The sequence below is a fragment of the Homo sapiens genome, chromosome 5, assembly GCF_000001405.40.
Source record: "Homo sapiens chromosome 5, GRCh38.p14 Primary Assembly".
Lineage (NCBI taxonomy): Eukaryota > Metazoa > Chordata > Mammalia > Primates > Hominidae > Homo > Homo sapiens.
This window is the reverse complement of record NC_000005.10, coordinates 19,965,980-19,983,910: the sequence shown is the minus strand read 5'-3', so window position 1 is coordinate 19,983,910 and position 17,931 is coordinate 19,965,980. Positions and strand designations below refer to the sequence as shown.

Below are 17,931 nucleotides of genomic sequence, written 5' to 3'. Positions count from 1 at the left end.
TTATTGCATATGGTTGCATAGATATACTATTTATTTAAATAATCCCTTATTACAATCTTTTTAAATGACAAAGAGAAGGCCAACACAAGTTAAACAATTAAGAACCTCTATCACTGCTGGTAGTGTTTTGACTTCTAAGTGTGGTACACGTTCCAGGAAACTATTTCTGGGAAAATTAGCAGGTAGAGAGGAAATGTAGGAGCAGGTGTAAGAGGAGCATTTGCCCTAGTGCACCCTGACATGCTCAGATGTTGCTTTTGTGGATACTAGAAAGTTCTGATATATAAATTTCTACATTGTTGAGCCACATAAATTTAGAAATTTCTTGGTAGGTCTGAGAACAAAATGAACAAAGTTTGATCCCTAAAAATATTGAGTGAAATATTTGCTTTAATCAACGTCCTTCAATGCCAGGACTATGTCTTATTCAAGATTTTACTCAAAACACATGGAATATGATAGATGAATTGTTGGTAAAATAAATTGAAGATGTGCAGACGCCTCCACTGAAAGGGAATTCAACTATCATTTCTGTTTCATTTTATGTTTAGATGATCATAAGGATTCTCAAATAGGTATTTATTGCCATTATTTTGAGGCCTTTAGGATTAATACAGATGACTTACATATGACTTATATGTAACTATGCACAATTAGATATTACTGATAATTTCATTTGATCCAATTATTTTCAGTCTACCTGATATTAAAAGTATTTTAAATAAAAATATCTAGGTTAGATCCACAGTTACCAGTGTGATATAAATGAGATAGGGTGCCATTTCAATCCATCAAATTATACATATATATATTTTTGATATGAGTTACAGATATTTCTCCATTATGTCTTTAATTTTGGCTTTTTTTTTTTTTTTTTCGAGATGGAGTCTTGCTCTGTCGCCCAGGCTGGACGACAGTGGCGCACTGCAAGCTCCACCTCCCAGGTTCAAGCGATTCTCCTGCCTCAGCCTCCCAAGTATCTGGGACTATAGGTGCCTGCCACCAAGCCCGGCTAATTTTTTGTATTATTAGTAGAGATGGGGTTTCACCATGTTAGCCAGGATGGTCATAATCTCCTGACCTCGTGATCCACACGCCTTGGCCTCCCAAAGTGCTGGGATTACAGGTGTGAGCCATGGTGCCTGGCCTCGAATTATAATATTTAAAAGAATTTCTGAAACCAATGTTGACACAGTTATGATAAAACTTTTACTTGTATTTACTCCTGCCTGGTGGAAGTGAAAATCAATATATCGATTTTAAAAAGCAATTTGCAACCCATTGTGAGAGATAGGAAAGTGTAGTTTCCCTTATATACAACTTGTGGGAATAAATTAGGAAATAATTAAAAATATCACAAAAATGAAGAAACTCTTTAATAAGTTAAAATTAATTTAATAATTTGAATCAAAGAATGATAAATGTATGGCAATTAAATATAATTTACTAAGCTTGATACTAAATTTTATGTATGCTATAATTTTTAAAAAATTTTCAGAAAAATTTTGAGAGAAAAATGTGAGTTTTCTAGATTTTTCTGTGTTGTTTATATTGTATTTATTTTTTAATGTCTCATTAGTAGTTTTTACTAATGTGATATAATTTGAATGAGCCATGATAGTGTCCATGAAAATCTATTTTGGTTGTAGTGAATTTTTCTTGTTATGGAGAACCCACTTTTTGAGTCATTTGTTCTATTTAGCTTAGCAATAGATGGGAAAGCGTTGTATGATTAAGATTATAAAATAAACCAGTTCCCAAAGACCAATCAGTAAAGTTCCTATTTTGATAACTAAAATTCTACCTGTAGAAATTTTTTAAAGCAAAAATAAAATCCAATTGCATATTAAATTATATTTTTCCTGTTATATAGTAAATTAAAATTTTGTATTCATTCATTCATGGAGGTTGCCATCTGTTTGGGAAGAAAGCTGGTAAACAAGGGCATAATTAGTATTTTGTAGTATTTGTAGAAAATTGTTAAAGAGAAAAAATGAAAAAGGGATGCAGAAAAAAATTGTCAAGAGATAGATGGTGGTTTGATATTTTATCTATTTGGCTAGGAAGCCTGGGAGGAAGTGTGGATATGAACCATGTTGCTGTCTCAGGAACCATATTCCAGGGAGAGTGAAAAGCAAGTGCAAAAGCCCTAGGGAAGGAGCACCCCTGGCTATCTGACACATAACAAGAACAGCAGAGCTGAGTGAAATAATTGAAATGGAGTGTTATGATCTGAATGTGTCCCTCAAAATTCATGTCTTGGAAACTTTACCTCCAATGCAACAATTTTGAGAAGTGGCATCTTTTGAAAAATGCTTAGGTCATAAGGATGTGAATTACAGCCCTTATTAAGAGAGCTTTTGGGAGTGGGTTCACTTCCTCTTGCCACAACATGAAGACCCAGCAAGAAAGCCCTCACCAGATGCCAGTGCCTCAATCCTGGACTTCTTAGCCTTCATAACTGAACTGTGAGGAAATAAATGCCTGCTCTTTATAAATTATTCTTTCTGTGGTGTTTTGTTATAGCAGCAGAAAATGGACTAACAAATAGCATACAGGAGGTGATAATGTTAAGAAATAATAGAAACCCGATCATGTGTAGATCCTGTAGATCTGTTTAAGAACTTTGGATTTTTCCTACAAGAGTATGGATGGTATTTGATCATTCTGAGCAGAGAGGTGACATTATCTGATCTATATTTCAACAAGAAACTCTTGTCACTCTGTTGCAGATAGACTGAAGAGGAGCAAGAACAGAAACAGGGAGCCAGTTACAGATCTATCCCAAGAATTCTGGGGAGAGATGATGGTGTCTGCAGCAGAGTGACAGCAGTGGAGATTGAGAGAAAAGGTTTGATTCTGTATTTATCATGAAAATAAAGTTGGCAGGATGTGATACTGCTTAAGATATAAGTCTGATGGGGGAAAGTGATGTGAAAGGATAAATTGTGATATTTGTATCCTAAACAATAAGAGGGCTGCAACTGATATTCCCTAAGAAGCGAAATAATTGAGGAGAATCAAGTTGGGCAGGAGAAGGAGAGAGGCAGTAGAAGTAAAGACCTGAGTTTTGCACATATATTGATTGAGATGTCCAAGTGGGGATAAAATGCAGTCAATGGAATACGCAACTGTAGCGTTGCAGGGAGAGCTTTGTGGTGCGGGTATAAAATACAAATTTGTATGCAATATTAGATTGCACTTAAAGTGAAGAGACTGAATATGAGAGAAAATGTTAAAAACATAACGGCCTGGAATTGGAGCAGCAAACACCTGTGGGTTCAAAAGATGGGGAGAAACTGGCAACTAAGGAGTAGCTGTAGTGAGAGGAGGAAGCTCCGGTGAGTGACTGTCTTGAAGCCTGGGAAGATGGACTTCAAGGAAGACACTGTCTTGAAATACATTTAAATTATGGAAATGGAAACTCACAAATACATATGAACACATATTCAATATATATTTAGTGGAATTTTTATTTTAGGTATAAAGAGTGTATTTCCTTAATTAAAAAAACATCTTAAAAATTTTTATGGTTGCTTACTTTTTCTGATGTATGTATTTATGTAAATCATTCTATATTCAAGGTGAGTCCATTTGTTTGTGTCATCTATGATTTCTCTCAGCAGTGTTTTATAGTTCTCCTTGTAGAGGTCTTTCACCTCCTTGGTTAAGTATATTCCTAAGTTTTGTTTTGTTTTTTGCTGTTGTAAAAGGGGTTGAGTTCTTGATTTGATTCTCTGCTTGGTCGCTGTTGGTGTATAGAAGAACTACTGATTTGTGTACATTAATTTTGTATCTGGAACTTTTCTGAATTATATTATCAGTTCTAGGAGCTTTCTGGAGTAGTCTTTAAGGTTTTCTAGGTAAACAATCATATCATCAGCAAACAGTGACAGTTTGACTTCTTCTTTACCAATTTCGATGCTTTATTTCTTTCTCTTGTCTGATTGCTCTAGCTAGGACTTCCAGTACTATGTTGAAGTGGAGTGGTGAGAGTGGGCATCCTTGTCTTGTTGCAGTTCTCAGAGGGAATGCTTTCAACTTTTCCCCATTCAGTATTATGTTAGCTGTGGGTTTGTCATAGATGGCTTTTATTACATCAATGTGAATCTGCTATTAGAAACAAATGGAACATTCTTGATGCCATAAAAACAGCTATTGCCACAAAGTACTCATTTAATCATCTATGTATTTTATTAGTCAACGTATTTTTATCTTCTATTACATTTATTAGGTTTACCTAAATTGGATGCTATAATTATTGCTTTTTCAGACCTGACTAGGTAGCAGCATAAACTCTCATTTAGTACTAATTCTTTTAAAATGTTGTTTCCTGTCAACCTCAATTTATGCTACAAATGATTATAGTAAAAGAAGAGTAGACAAAATATGAAGTTTCCCCAGCCAATATATCAATTAAAAGACCATATGTTTTTACCTTGCCATTTCCTAGTGATTTATGCCCAGACTTTTAAGTGCAAGGTAAATCATTAGGAACCGAGATATAAATCTACAGTTTCAGCAGAAGGTCTGAGGTGATTAAGTTGTGAAACTGATATTTTAGCAAATATACAAGATTACTATATTGCAAGATTATTTCAGCATTGTTCATACGAATTAAAGTATTCCTTCATACAACTATCCCAAGACACACTCTGCTTCAACACACACACACACACACACACACACACACACTCCATCCCCACCAACAATCACCTTATGACTTTATAATCACACTGTTTATTAAACTTAAGAGACTATAATCAGCTTGATTAGCTAGTTCTTTATCAACCAAGCTTCACTCAGAATATTTATATTCTAAGATAAACTAAGTGAAGTAGCTTCTGAAACTCACTCTATGAGTGAAGTTACAACAATACTTCAAACATATTAATGTATAAGTGCTGCGTGTGACTACCTTGAATGCTAGCATGGTAGGCAGCATAATGGTCCCCAAGATGTTCACATACTAATCGCTGTAACTTGTGATTATATTACATGGCAGTGGAGGGTTATGGTTGCAGATGGAATTAAGGTTGTCTATTAGAGAGCCTAAAGTAGGGAAATGATCCTGGATAAACTTGGTGCGTCCAATGTAATCCCAAGGCTCTTTAAAAGTGAAAGAGGGAGGAAGAGAGGAGGACACAGTGATCATGTGAGAAGGACTCAGTCTGATTTTGCTGGTTTTGGAGTATGAAGGAAGAGGGCCAAGTGCTTTGGTCAGCATCCAGAAACTGGAAAAGACAAAGGAAATGGATTCTCCCCTAGTACCTCTAGAACGGAATACAGCCATGCTAACACTTTGATTTTAGCTCAGTTGAGACTTATGTCAGACTTCTTACCAACAGAGCTGCAAGATAATAACTTAGTGTTTTTTTAAAGCACTAAATTTGTGGTGCTTTCTGGCAATGGGAAACTAATAAAACTAGCATATTGAGTTTCTGAAGTTCCTGCATATATATAAACAGCACATCATGTGAATTTTCCAAGGAGAAACATATAGAATGTTATTTAATCTGTAATAATTATACTATCAGTCTGGAATTGTTATATTGCTCAAAATTAAATTGATGAAAAAGTCATATGAAACCCAAAGGTTAGTTTCCTGAAGGATGCTAGTTGCCTCAAAAAGAAGGTAAATGTTACTCCTAATGAAAGAAAATAATTTATCCTCCCTAATGAATACGTTCTTATCTCTAGTAATTATATATTATTAGTGTTTATGTGAGTTTATTGAACTTCCAGTTCCTGTGTCCAAACATGATTAAAATAGTATTGAATTATTTTGTACAGTCTTAGGTAAATTATTCATCCACGCAAACAATAAACAAAGTAAAATATGGAATATTTGCAAAAGAAACATATTACCCTCTCTGCTTTTTACTTTTGTAGTGCAGGAAATAGTTACTTAACTTTTGCACAATGTCATTAAAAAAAGTGAATTCAATCATAGTAGAATATTCTATAGCTCAATTAAAAAATGTAACCTCATATAATTAACAAAGATTGGCTTAGAATGAGAATATAGAAATCTGTGTGTTTACTGATCAAACTAATTTTTAACTAAGAGACTAGAATGTTGCTCAACCTTTTTAAAACTGCTAAATAGGGAAAAATTTATCCTTCCAGTTTGAATGGCCTTATCTCATGTTTAAATCATAACACCTATGAAAATGTTCATAGAAAAATGTCAAATTTCAAGGGTATAAAAAAATAAAAGAATGGATTAAGGCAAATTAATTAAATTTGGCTAATATCAATTTTATTTCTTTCTTTAAAATGTCTCATGGATATTGTTTGCTTATACCTGGTTATAAAAGCCCTCTTTAGCATAGGATTCTAAAAGCAGTTGTATGATTTGCCTGCCTGCACGTGAAACAATCCTAGACATGATGGAGTATGCAAATGGAGTGACATATGCCAGTCTTCTTTAATCTGGCTTATTGGTGATGTTGGAAATACTGGCACAAATTGTCCATCTGAGTTTCTGTATTCTTTATCAGAGTGCCTCATTCAAATAATTGAATTCTAGGTAATAAAAAACGTGCAAATGAGCCAAAGCTTTGGGGAATAACTTCAGCTAACTGCAAAGCCTGTGAAAGCACCAGTTTGCCGAGATTACATCAGCATCTGATCTGCTTCCAAAGACCCTGGCTGGGTACTCAGAAGCAGAACCAACTCCCAATAATGTGTTCATTTCTGACACACAAGGAAGTGCCATTTTATTTTTCTCTTACATGTTTACTTTCCTGAATTATTTTTTTGTTCCTTTAATTTCTTAAGTGACAGGTGTTTATTGTAACAAGTCAAATTATACTTTGTTTCCCTTTCTTCAATCCCACTGAGTTGAAATATCTACAAACTATATATCCACAAATTAATAATTTGTTTATCCACTTACACCTTTTTCCATAAACCTGAAAAGCATATATATTTAAACATGCAAACATTAATTTTATTCAGCTTTTTAAAAATCAAGTGTTATTTAATCCATACTACTCTACTTAATCCTTACTTAATATTAGATCATTAAAATCTCTACAAAACAATATGTCAATCTGATGCGTTCTTGTCTTTATTTTTGCCTCATAACTCATTTTCATCCCTGTTTCTGTCTTTATATCCTGTCATGTTGCCATAAGTTAGTCTTATCCTTTGAAATTTGTAGGTATTCTTTTGTTTTCCTATTTTCAACTCTGTATCATTATATTTCTAACAATATTATTTCTTTCCTCTGTCACTCTGGATTCTACCAATCTTTCTAATCCTCCCAATCCCCTCCAGTCCTCATTAATCCTCTTTTTTCAGAGACCATCTACCTTATACTACTAAATAATATGCCTGAGTAATAGAGCCATCTGATCTTCTGAAACCCCTCAGTAAGACTAAGTCCATATTTCTTCCCTGAAATACTGCAGTTGACAATCTACAATTGGTGATTCTTTGAGACTGTTGAAAGGTCATAACCATTAGTTTACTACTGTGTCCACTCTGTACTGAAACAACAAATGTGTGTGTATGTGCGTGTTTGTGTGTGTGTGTAGATAAAATGTGTTTTTCCCCTCAACTCTTTTTTCTGTAATTATGTAGATTGCCAGAATCTGTGAGCTTTTTGCATTGTCTGTGATATCTAAAGACCTTTATTTTCCTAGATCTTTTTAATGTATTATGTAAAGTAAAATTTAAAATAGTTTTTCTTCAGAGTTTTTAAACAGAATTTATGGAAGTTTAATTAAGAATTATTTAATTTGAGCCATTTAACACTCACTCAGGTAATAAAAGGGAAAAGAAGCATGAAACAATAAGAATCAGTAGAATATGAATTTCACTGGGTCGAAATTTGCTAAGTATGAATCACCGTTTCAGATGAGGTGCTCTCGCCAACTTCAGAGGCAGTTCTTGTGTGACTGTGACTCTGGAAATAAGTAACCGTTAGGAATAGCTGTTTCTCTGAGAAAGCATCTCACTCCATTTTCAGTCCAGTGCTAAAGAGGATTTAATGTGTATGCAAAAAGGTATTTTTAACACTTAAATTTGGTATTAGCATCCTGGATGTGCTGACTCTTCCAAGTGTAAAATTGTGCTTTCAGAAAGAAGTAAACTAGGACACTTTGTCAGCATCCTAGAAATGATAGCCATTCTTTTACTAAAAGAAATGCCAAACATTTAAAATGAAAAAGTAACACATTAACTAAATGGAAAAACCAGATTGTTCTAATCAATAAACTCTACAATAATAGTTTGTTCTTAGCTAATATGTGTTTATATCTCTAATTTATTACCAACAGCAAAAAAGTATTATTTATAAAAATTTGATTTCCTGAGAGACATAAAATATTTAAAATAACAATTGCCTCAAATCAAATCGTGTTTAATTATTATTGAAGTTTCTGCTCTAAATGCTCAACCTAGACCTTGCCTTTCATTGAAAATACATTCACTCAGATATTTTGGTAGTACACAATCCTCCTACAAACCTCATCATTTACTTTTCTTCATACTTATTTTTCATCTAGCACTACTCAATTTTTTCCCAACATATTGAATTTTATTTAAAAATCACTACCTAAGAAAATTACAGCTTTATGACACATAAAAGTATATTATTTTGGCAAAATGAGTTTCATTGTACAAAAATATACAAATTTAACATAATTTTTATTAAGTACGATGTGGAGACATGGTATGCTGAAAAAATCATAGAAATTATTTAAGTAAAATGTATACTTTGAACTGAGATTTTATATAACTTATTGATTTAGTTAATGTTATATTTATATAATGTATCATTTATAATTTACTTGTGCATGCATAGTCAACCAGATTAACTGCCAGTTTTCTCTGGAACCTCAACATGTAGTAATCATTTTTTATATGACATTTCCTTCTTGGCCTACTGCACAGGAGTGTAGGTAGATATTGTTAACTTCATTTTGTAGAAGAGTACATTTAAGTCATAGAGTTCCTAGATGGCCCTACGGGACACACTTACTTAAAAGTAGCCGGGTCAGAATGGAGCATGCCCAGCTTTCCTCTTCCATCCATAATGCCTCTTCACAGGCCAGCACCCACACCCCCTGCACCCTGGATCCCAGCTGATGGGCTCATATCACATTTCAGAAATAAATTTGCTAAATCAACGGGACAGTGACAAGCTCACTTCCACCAATCTATATGAACTAGTACCAATATTCCTATCTCTTGCCTCTATTCAAATTATAATGAAGGACAATGCCTGCTATATCTGCACCTCCTTCTCAGGATTCTGTCCCCATACCCTCCCTGACTTCTCTCTTTAATTGGTTACATCATTAAAGTATCACTCTCTAATGGTCCTTCCCATAAGTGTGCTCTGGAAACTTCCCTCTTTTTTTTTTTTTTTTTTTTTTTGGGAGACAGGATCTCATTCTGTCGCCCAGGCTGGAGTGCAATGGTGTGATCTCGGCTCACTGCAACCTCTGCCTCCTGGATTCTGCCTCAGCCTCCCAAGTAGCTGGGATTACAGGTGCACATGACCATGCCTGGCTAATCTTTATATTTTAGTAGAGACGGGGTTTCACCACATTGGCCAGGCTAGTCTCGAACTCCTGAACTCAAGTGATCTGCCCGCCTCGGCCTCCCAAATTGGTGGAAACTTCCATCTTTAAAACACATCCAGGGACAACACCGCCTATTTACTCTGCTCAGATTTAACATGTTTCTGACATCTGAGTAAATGATCCCATTTGTACCAGTCTGAAAACTGAGAAAGATCCTTTACACCTTTGTCACCCTTATACCTCCTACCACTGTCAGATCCTATATGTTCTAACCCTAAAATATTTTAAAAATATGTTCACTATGTGTATCTTTGCTACCACCCTACTGGTTCAAATCACCATGATCTCTTCTATAATGATTTATTTCATTTGGCTTGCATCATCAAATACCCTTCTCGAATCATTGATATATTCATATGACAATCAGCAAATACTCCCTCTAAGTGTAAATCAGTAGATGTTGTTCCTCTCTTTCAAAACTCTTCCAAGGATCCCAATATGAAAAACAGGGGGCTAAATTCTTGCCATCACCTCAAAAACTTTTTATATTCTCATCTAGCCTTCCTGTCCAACTTGATCCCTATCTATGCTCATTAAGTGACAGTTTTATACTTTCCCCTCCTCAAATATGCTAAGCAGTTGAACTGGCTTGTTCCTTTAGTCTGAAATGTCCTTCTCTCATATTTTTTATGGTAAGCTTCTTGTCCTTCATGCTCTTCTCATCCTATTAAAAACAGAACCCTTTTCCCTAAAGTAGTTCTCCATCACACTAGCCAACTTTTTCCATGTTCTTCAATACTGTTTATTAGCTTATTCCTTTCCTTTTTTCTCACCTCCAAGTAAAAAGTAAACCTTCCTTAACCCAGGATATTGAGCATTCACTTACCTTTGGATTTCCAAGGTTTAAGAGATTTCCTGCTGCACAGCCCATACTATATCTCAGAAAATAAATTTGAAGTACATCGTACATAGATAATAGGACACAAGTGAATACCATACACAGGTAACCACCACTCTTACAAAATGGAATATTACCTGCATTCCTGAAGCCTACCTTTTGCACTTTTACAGTCCTATTCTCTTCCCCAGATATAACCTTTTTATCCTCACTTCTAACATTATATGTGGCATTTGCCTGTGTATTTAAAATAAACCAAATTATACAGTATTTTTCCATTGAAAAATATTTCCACAGTGTTTTTCCATTGGCTTTTTAACATTACTTTTGTTAAAAGCATCCATTTTGTGGAATTAATCAGTTGTTTATGCATTTTCATTCCTGTAGATTATTCCATTTTATAAATATACCGTAAGTTATTTGTTCTACTACTGAAAGGCTTTTGTGCCATTTCTTTTATTAACGATTAACTGTAATATTATTAATTAATATTATTGACTATTACTTCAGATAATAATAGAAACGGCACAAAAGCCCTTCAGTAGTAGAATGGATAATTTACGGTATATTTACTGTTGTATTTACTATTTACTACTATTCTATTTACTATTTCTATTAAAAACTATTACAAATAATATAACTGTGAACAGTCTTGTATTTGACTTTTGGAGAACATATGTGTGCCTTTTTCCTGAGTGTATATTGTAAGTAGAATTGTTATGTTATAAGTTATGTATATATTCAGCTTTAATAGATAAAGACAAATCATATTCCAAAGTGGTTCTACTAATTTATGTTCCTACACCATTATGAGATATATTTTTGTTATTGTCTGTCTTATTCATTTTAGTCATTTTGGCAGGTATGTAGTGGTATCTCATTGTATTATTCCCCTGCTATATTTTTAATCTTTAAAACTACAGTAAAATTTGAAAGAATAATGCAGTGAACATTCATACTCTTAAACTGGAGTCATCAATTGTTTTAATTTGCCACTTTCGCTTTATTGATAATGCACCGCCTTCATTTTTCTAACTGTTTGAAAACAACTTTTACCATTTGGATGCAGACTTTCAATGGTAGAAAATTGAAAAGCTTTCTGAATTTATAGACTTAGTAATTTTGACATTTAGTGAACATTTTCTTGATTTACTTTAATAGTTTTGCAAGTAGAATGGTAAGATGCAGTATAAATACAATATACTAAGTATATTTATTTCAAGATGCTAAGGAAACAAATTTTGCTTTGCAACTTGTGAGGATAATATATAAATGAGAAAAACAAAGGCTGTGCTAAAAATAAACAAACTCATTCAATTTGTTCATCATATTTAAAGCATGAATCAGGTTTGAAATGCCATTTGCAGATAATGCCACCACCAAAAGAATATCGCATTTTCTTTGTATCATCTTTGTTTACTTAGTACAAATACAGTTATTGACAACCAAAGAATGGTAGTTTAGACCTCAGAAAGCACATTTGTATTTTTTAAAACTAGGTTTCCCTTTATATGTAGTTCTTACTGGTATAATGGAGACTCCGATGGTGAAGCTAAATTATTGCACTATTTGGCAGATCACCTCGATTCACATTTCTTTCTCTCTCTCTCTCTCTTTTTTTTTTTAACGTTTAAGTTTAGAGGCACAAGTTACGTTTGTTACATAGGTAAACTTGTGTCATGGAGGTTTGTTGTACCAATTATTTCATCACCCAGGTATTAAGCATAGTACTCATTAATTGTTTTTCTTGATCCTGTCTTCCTCCTTCCACCCTCCACCTTCGGAAAGGTCCCAGTGTGTGTTGTTCTCCTCTATGTGTCCATATGTTCTCATCATTTAGCTCCCATTTATAAGTGAGAACATGGAGTATTTGGCTTTCATATAGTAGGTTTCATGGTATGTTTTATGTTTCATAGTATGTTTTAATGACCAATAACCTCCACTGATGTACCAAGTTTCGCAAATGATCTTTCTGTTGCCTTTCATTCTTTTAAACAAACTATCTTTTTATATATACATTAAATTAATATGTGAAGCTCTGGTAATATATTTTAAACTTTGCTTCTAACAAAACTTTTCTGTGGCATTGAACTTTTTTTGCTGATTAGGTTTATAAGTGATGTATGTGAATTCATCCCTATACATTAGCTCTTGAACAATTGAAGGTGCAAGTCACTTTTGAGTACTTCTATTTTAATGGTTATTTTATACTGGAAAATGTTATTTTTATGATATTTACTTGAGAACAAGCAAACTGGATACCAGCTCTATTATATATTCTGAATATTTTCAGAATTTTACTTTATTTTTGTCTGGTAGACTAGCATTTCATCAATAAGCATGCTTTGCTTTAATTAGGGTTAAAATGGATTAATTTGCTTTAAAATGAGCTATTTTCAAGACATCATGTTAAAAATATATTTCTTTTAGAATAAAATCTAAAAATAAGAAAGACTTATGCTCCAGCAGCTAGAGAAGAAATATGGGATTGCTGCACAAACTTTAATAATGTATTTTGTTTTCTTGTAAAATAGCATCACTCCGTCTCCAATGGAGATATTCTTCACTATCTGTTTTTAAAAAGTTTTCTGTATTACCTATATATGTCAACAAGTTAGTTTTCACTAAAATTCTATTTTTTTCTATCTTCTTTATTATTTTAAACACTTATATATATTTAATATATGTAGAATAATATTTAATCTCAAAGATTAAATATTATTTTACGGTATAAATAAATGTATGAATAATTATTTTCCTGATAGGGATTTTCAAAAAATCTTATGAACTGTATTCCCATGAGTCTCGTGAACTTAGCATTTAAATATTTCTTCATTTAGGTTTTTTATAGTTGTCTTCGGTTTACCCACAACACTACATAGCCTTTTAAAAGAAAACGTAATACAGTAATAGTTCCAAAACCTTAAGATAATGATTTAGGGAGTTTCCTATATAATATACCAATTTACCTAACTATATTTTAAAATTTTGATTTTTCACTTGTGATCTTAAATGAAAAATATTCCTGCAAAAGTGTAAAATGCTTAAATATATATTGAACAGAAGGATATCCTCTCTTATTGCTAAATTTAATTTTAAATATGGAAATGCATGACATTTATTATTAACAAATTATAAATATAAAGATGACTGTACCATGGCAGTATCAGTAATTTTTAGGGAAAATACTTATTATTCATGTTTATATTCTTGTGATATTTATATATAATATGTATTAATACTATAATTTATTATAATTTATTCATTGATGAATTTGCTTCTTTCTGTCTATTTCATTCTGAGCCTTTTTTATTCTTGCTGCCCTGGAGCAGTAGGTGTTTCTCAATGGTTCTTTACTGACCATTTGTTTCTCACTCCCCTGTTCAGCTCATCAACTTTCATGGTTATCACTCATGTAATTTTAGTGCTCCATGTATCTAGCTCTGTCCTTTAACCTCTAATCGGGTCTTTTATTTCCACCAATGAGCAGATCTTCTCCACTGTCTTATACTGTTCTACTCCTTAAACTTATTGGATGTAAAACATTCTTGGATTTTTAAATGTTTATATTACTATAATAAGGTGTTAATTTATAAACTCTTTAGGACACCTTCTTTTTTTATTTTATTATTATACTTTAAGTTTTAGGGTACATGTGCACAATGTGCAGGTTAGTTACATATGTATACATGTGCCATGCTGGTGTGCTGCACCCATTAACTCCTCATGTAGCATTAGGTATATCTCCTAATGCTATCCCTCCCCGCTCCCCCCACCACACAACAGTCCCCAGAGTGTGATGTTCCCCTTCCTGTGTCCATGTGTTCTCATTGTTCAATTCCCACCTATGAGTGAGAACATGCGGCGTTTGGTTTTTTGTCCTTGTGATAGTTTACTGAGAATGATGATTTCCAATTTCATCCATGTCCCTACAAAGGACATGAACTCATCATTTTTTATGGCTGCATAGTATTCCATGGTGTATATGTGCCACATTTTCTTAATCCAGTCTATCATTGTTGGACATTTGGGTTGGTTCCAAGTCTTTGCTATTGGGAATAGTGCCGCAATAAACATACATGTGCATGTGTCTTTATAGCAGCATGATTTATAGTCCTTTGGGTATATAACCAGTAATGGGATGGCTGGGTCAAATGGTATTTCTAGTTCTAGATCCCTGAGGAATCGCCACACTGACTTCCACAATGGTTGAACTCGTTTACAGTCCCACCAACAGTGTAAAAGTGTTCCTATTTCTCCACATCCTCTCCAGCACCTGTTCTTTCCTGATTTTTTAATGATCGCCATTCTAACTGGTGTGAGATGGTATCTCATTGTGGTTTTGATTTGCATTTCTCTGATGGCCAGTGATGGTGAGCATTTTTTCATGTGTATTTTGGCTGCATAAATGTCTTCTTTTGAGAAGTGTCTGTTCATGTCCTTTGCCCACTTTTTGATGGGGTTGTTTGTTTTTTTCTTGTAAATTTGTTTGAGTTCATTGTAGATTCTGGATACTAGCCCTTTGTCAGATGAGTAGGTTGTGAAAATTTTCTCCCATTTTGTAGTTTGCCTGTTCACTCTGATGGTAGTTTCTTTTGCTGTGCAGAAGCTCTTTAGTTTAATTAGATCCCATTTGTCAATTCTGGCTTTTGTTGCCATTGCTTTTGGTGTTTTAGACATGAAGTCCTTGCCCATGCCTATGTCCTGAATGGTAATGCCTAGGTTTTCTTCTAGGGTTTTGATGGTTTTAGGTCTAATGTTTAAGTCTTTAATCCATCTTGAATTAATTTTTATATAAGGTGTAAGGAAGGGATCCAGTTTCAGCTTTCTACATATGGCTAGCCAGTTTTCCCAGCACCATTTATTAAATAGGGAATCCTTTCCCTGTTGCTTGTTTTTCTCAGGTTTGTCAAAGATCTGATAGTTGTAGATATGTGGCGTTATTTCTGAGGGCTCTGTTCTGTTCCATTGATCTATATCTCTGTTTTGGTACCAGTACCATGCTATTTTGGTTACTGTAGCCTTGTAGTATAGTTTGAAGTCAGGTAGCGTGATGCCTCCAGCTTTTTTCTTTTGGCTTAGGATTGACTGGGCGATGCAGGCTCTTTTTTGGTTCCATATGAACTTTAAAGTAATTTTTTTTCAATTCTGTGAAGAAAGTCATTGGTAGCTTGATGGGGATGGCATTGAATCTATAAATTACCTTGGGCAGTATGGCCATTTTCACGATATTGATTCTTCCCACCCATGAGCATGGAATGTTTTTCCATTTGTTTGTGTCCTCTTTTATTTCATTGAGCAGTGGTTTGTAGTTATCCTTGAAGAGGTCCTTCACGTCCCTTGTAAGTTGGATTCCTAGGTATTTTATTCTCTTTGAAGCAATTGTGAATGGGAGTTCACTCATGAATTGGCTCTCTGTTTGTCTGTTATTGGTGTATAAGAATGCTTGTGATTTTTGTACATTGATTTTGTATCCTGAGACTTTGCTGAAGTTGCTTATCAGCTTAAGGAGATTTTGGGCTGAGACAATGGGGTTTTCTAGATATACAATCATGTCATCTGCAGACAGGGACAATTTGACTTCCTCTTTTCCTAATTGAAAACCCTTTATTTCCTTCTCCTGCCTAATTGCCCTGGCCAGAACTTCCAACACTATATTGAATAGGAGTGGTGAGAGAGGGCATCCCTGTCTTGTGCCAGTTTTCAAAAGGAATGCTTCCAGTTTTTGCCCATTCAGTATGATATTGGCTGTGGGTTTGTCATAGATAGCTCTTATTATTTTGAGATACGTAGGATACCTTCTTTTGTGATCAGTGTATCAGTGTTCCTTATGATGTAAATGAAAATATGTGCTATGCCATCTTCTATTTTTCTGAGACCAACATGATTTTATATAAGTATGAATGTGAGAATCAGTCACAAATTGTTTTGAAGCTTAGTAACATTAAAGTTTATATCACCACAGGCAAGTTATATAATTTGCTCTCTGTACAATATGTACAACACAAACCAAAAGAATGAAAATTTTATGATTCTAGAACAGAACACAGTGTCAAGCACACAGAAGGCACTCAGTAAAACAGGTTTCATCATCATTTCTATTCTTAACAGTTGAATGAATCTTCTATATTTTTCTAATTATAACATTGGAATCACCATGATTTCTTTAAGGTCAAAAGTCTAAAATAATATTGAATATTTCTCCTCTAATCTGTTTCTATTTTTTTCATTTTTGTAATTAATGTATCCTTTAGATGCAAATTTCTGAATCAAGTAACTATCACATCAATATCGTTAATCTCTCCTATTTAGTTTACTATAGCTTTTATAGCATTCATTCTCACTTTCCTTTATTATAGATTTTTTTTACATTTTTTTCTTTTAAACCTAAGTGTAGTGCATACTGCTTCAGAATAAATATGACATTATTATTTTCTTTTTTATGTCACCTAGACCTGGTCTTGTTGCAAATATATTATATGGATGTGCTATAAATTTTAATTAATGGGTTTGGTATTAGTACATTTTTTCACTAATATTTGATATTAACAATTATGTACATTCAATATAACTGTAATTTTTGTTATGTAGCCATCTTTTATTATGTTTTATTTTAAAATAAACTCTCAAAGTATGAGAATACTCTGAAATGACTTTAAAATAGCTCATCACTATGTTAATGAAGTGAAATTCTTTATCTATTTCTTCATTATTTATTGTAGGTGAATAAGCACGCATATATAACTCTTGAAAATAATAACTAGTAGTTTACTATTGGAAAGAAAATCTGCTCCAGAAAAAAAACAGGCTTTGAGCTGATTTCCATCAGTAAAATTTTCTACATATAGAATCCCTTTATTAAGAAAAATAATTGTTTTTTCTTTTAATGATTTAGCAATTTTGCTACTTTCTTTATACCATGTGACTGATATGGTGATTTGCTAAATATATCATCTCCATGCTTCAGGTATTGTATATAGAAGAAAATAACCAATCTATAACATCCAGTTGGAATATACAATTATGTGGATAGCTGATATAACATTGAATGTGATAAACCTTTCTCTTTCTTATCCAGATTTATGAGCTCTTAATCTTCTCTCAGGCCTTCATACTTTTAGTGATTAAAGATTAGAAGCCTAACTAATATCCATGAAATTGTGACATGTTTTTCTCTCTGAGCAAGAGCATTATTGGATATATTATTTTTAATCTCATCATAATTGAATTAAATAATCTGAACACAACAGCTGTCCAGAAATAAGCATATAGTATGTTTTAATGATGAATAACCTCCACTGATATACCAGGTTTCACAAATGATCTTTCTGTTGCCTTTCTTTCAATCTTTTAAACAAATTATCTTTTTATATATAAATCAAAGTAGTGTGTATAGTACGAAGTTCAAACTCACACAACAAAATTTATTCGTTTTCTCTCCTGAAAGCCTTTTTCTTTTTTTATGAAAGCCACATACCATCTGTTTGTATTTAC

General features: G+C 33.3%; 1 protein-coding gene across 17 annotated transcripts in view; it reads left to right on the top strand.

Moving 5' to 3' along the window:
• Positions 1-17,931, top strand: part of CDH18 (cadherin 18) — a 1,104,418-nt gene that overhangs the window by 591,803 nt on the left and 494,684 nt on the right. For 11 of the 17 annotated variants that reach the window (XM_017008924.3, NM_001291956.3, NM_001349558.2 and 8 more), the window contains one exon: positions 2,733-2,851. The exons of 2 other annotated variants lie outside the window; for them this stretch is intronic. The gene's annotated coding sequence lies outside the window, so the exon portion shown is untranslated. The remainder of the gene's footprint in view (positions 1-2,732; positions 2,852-17,931) is intronic. 4 more of the 17 variants (NM_001349556.2, NM_001349561.2, NM_001349560.2 and 1 more) reach the window with 1 other exon arrangement.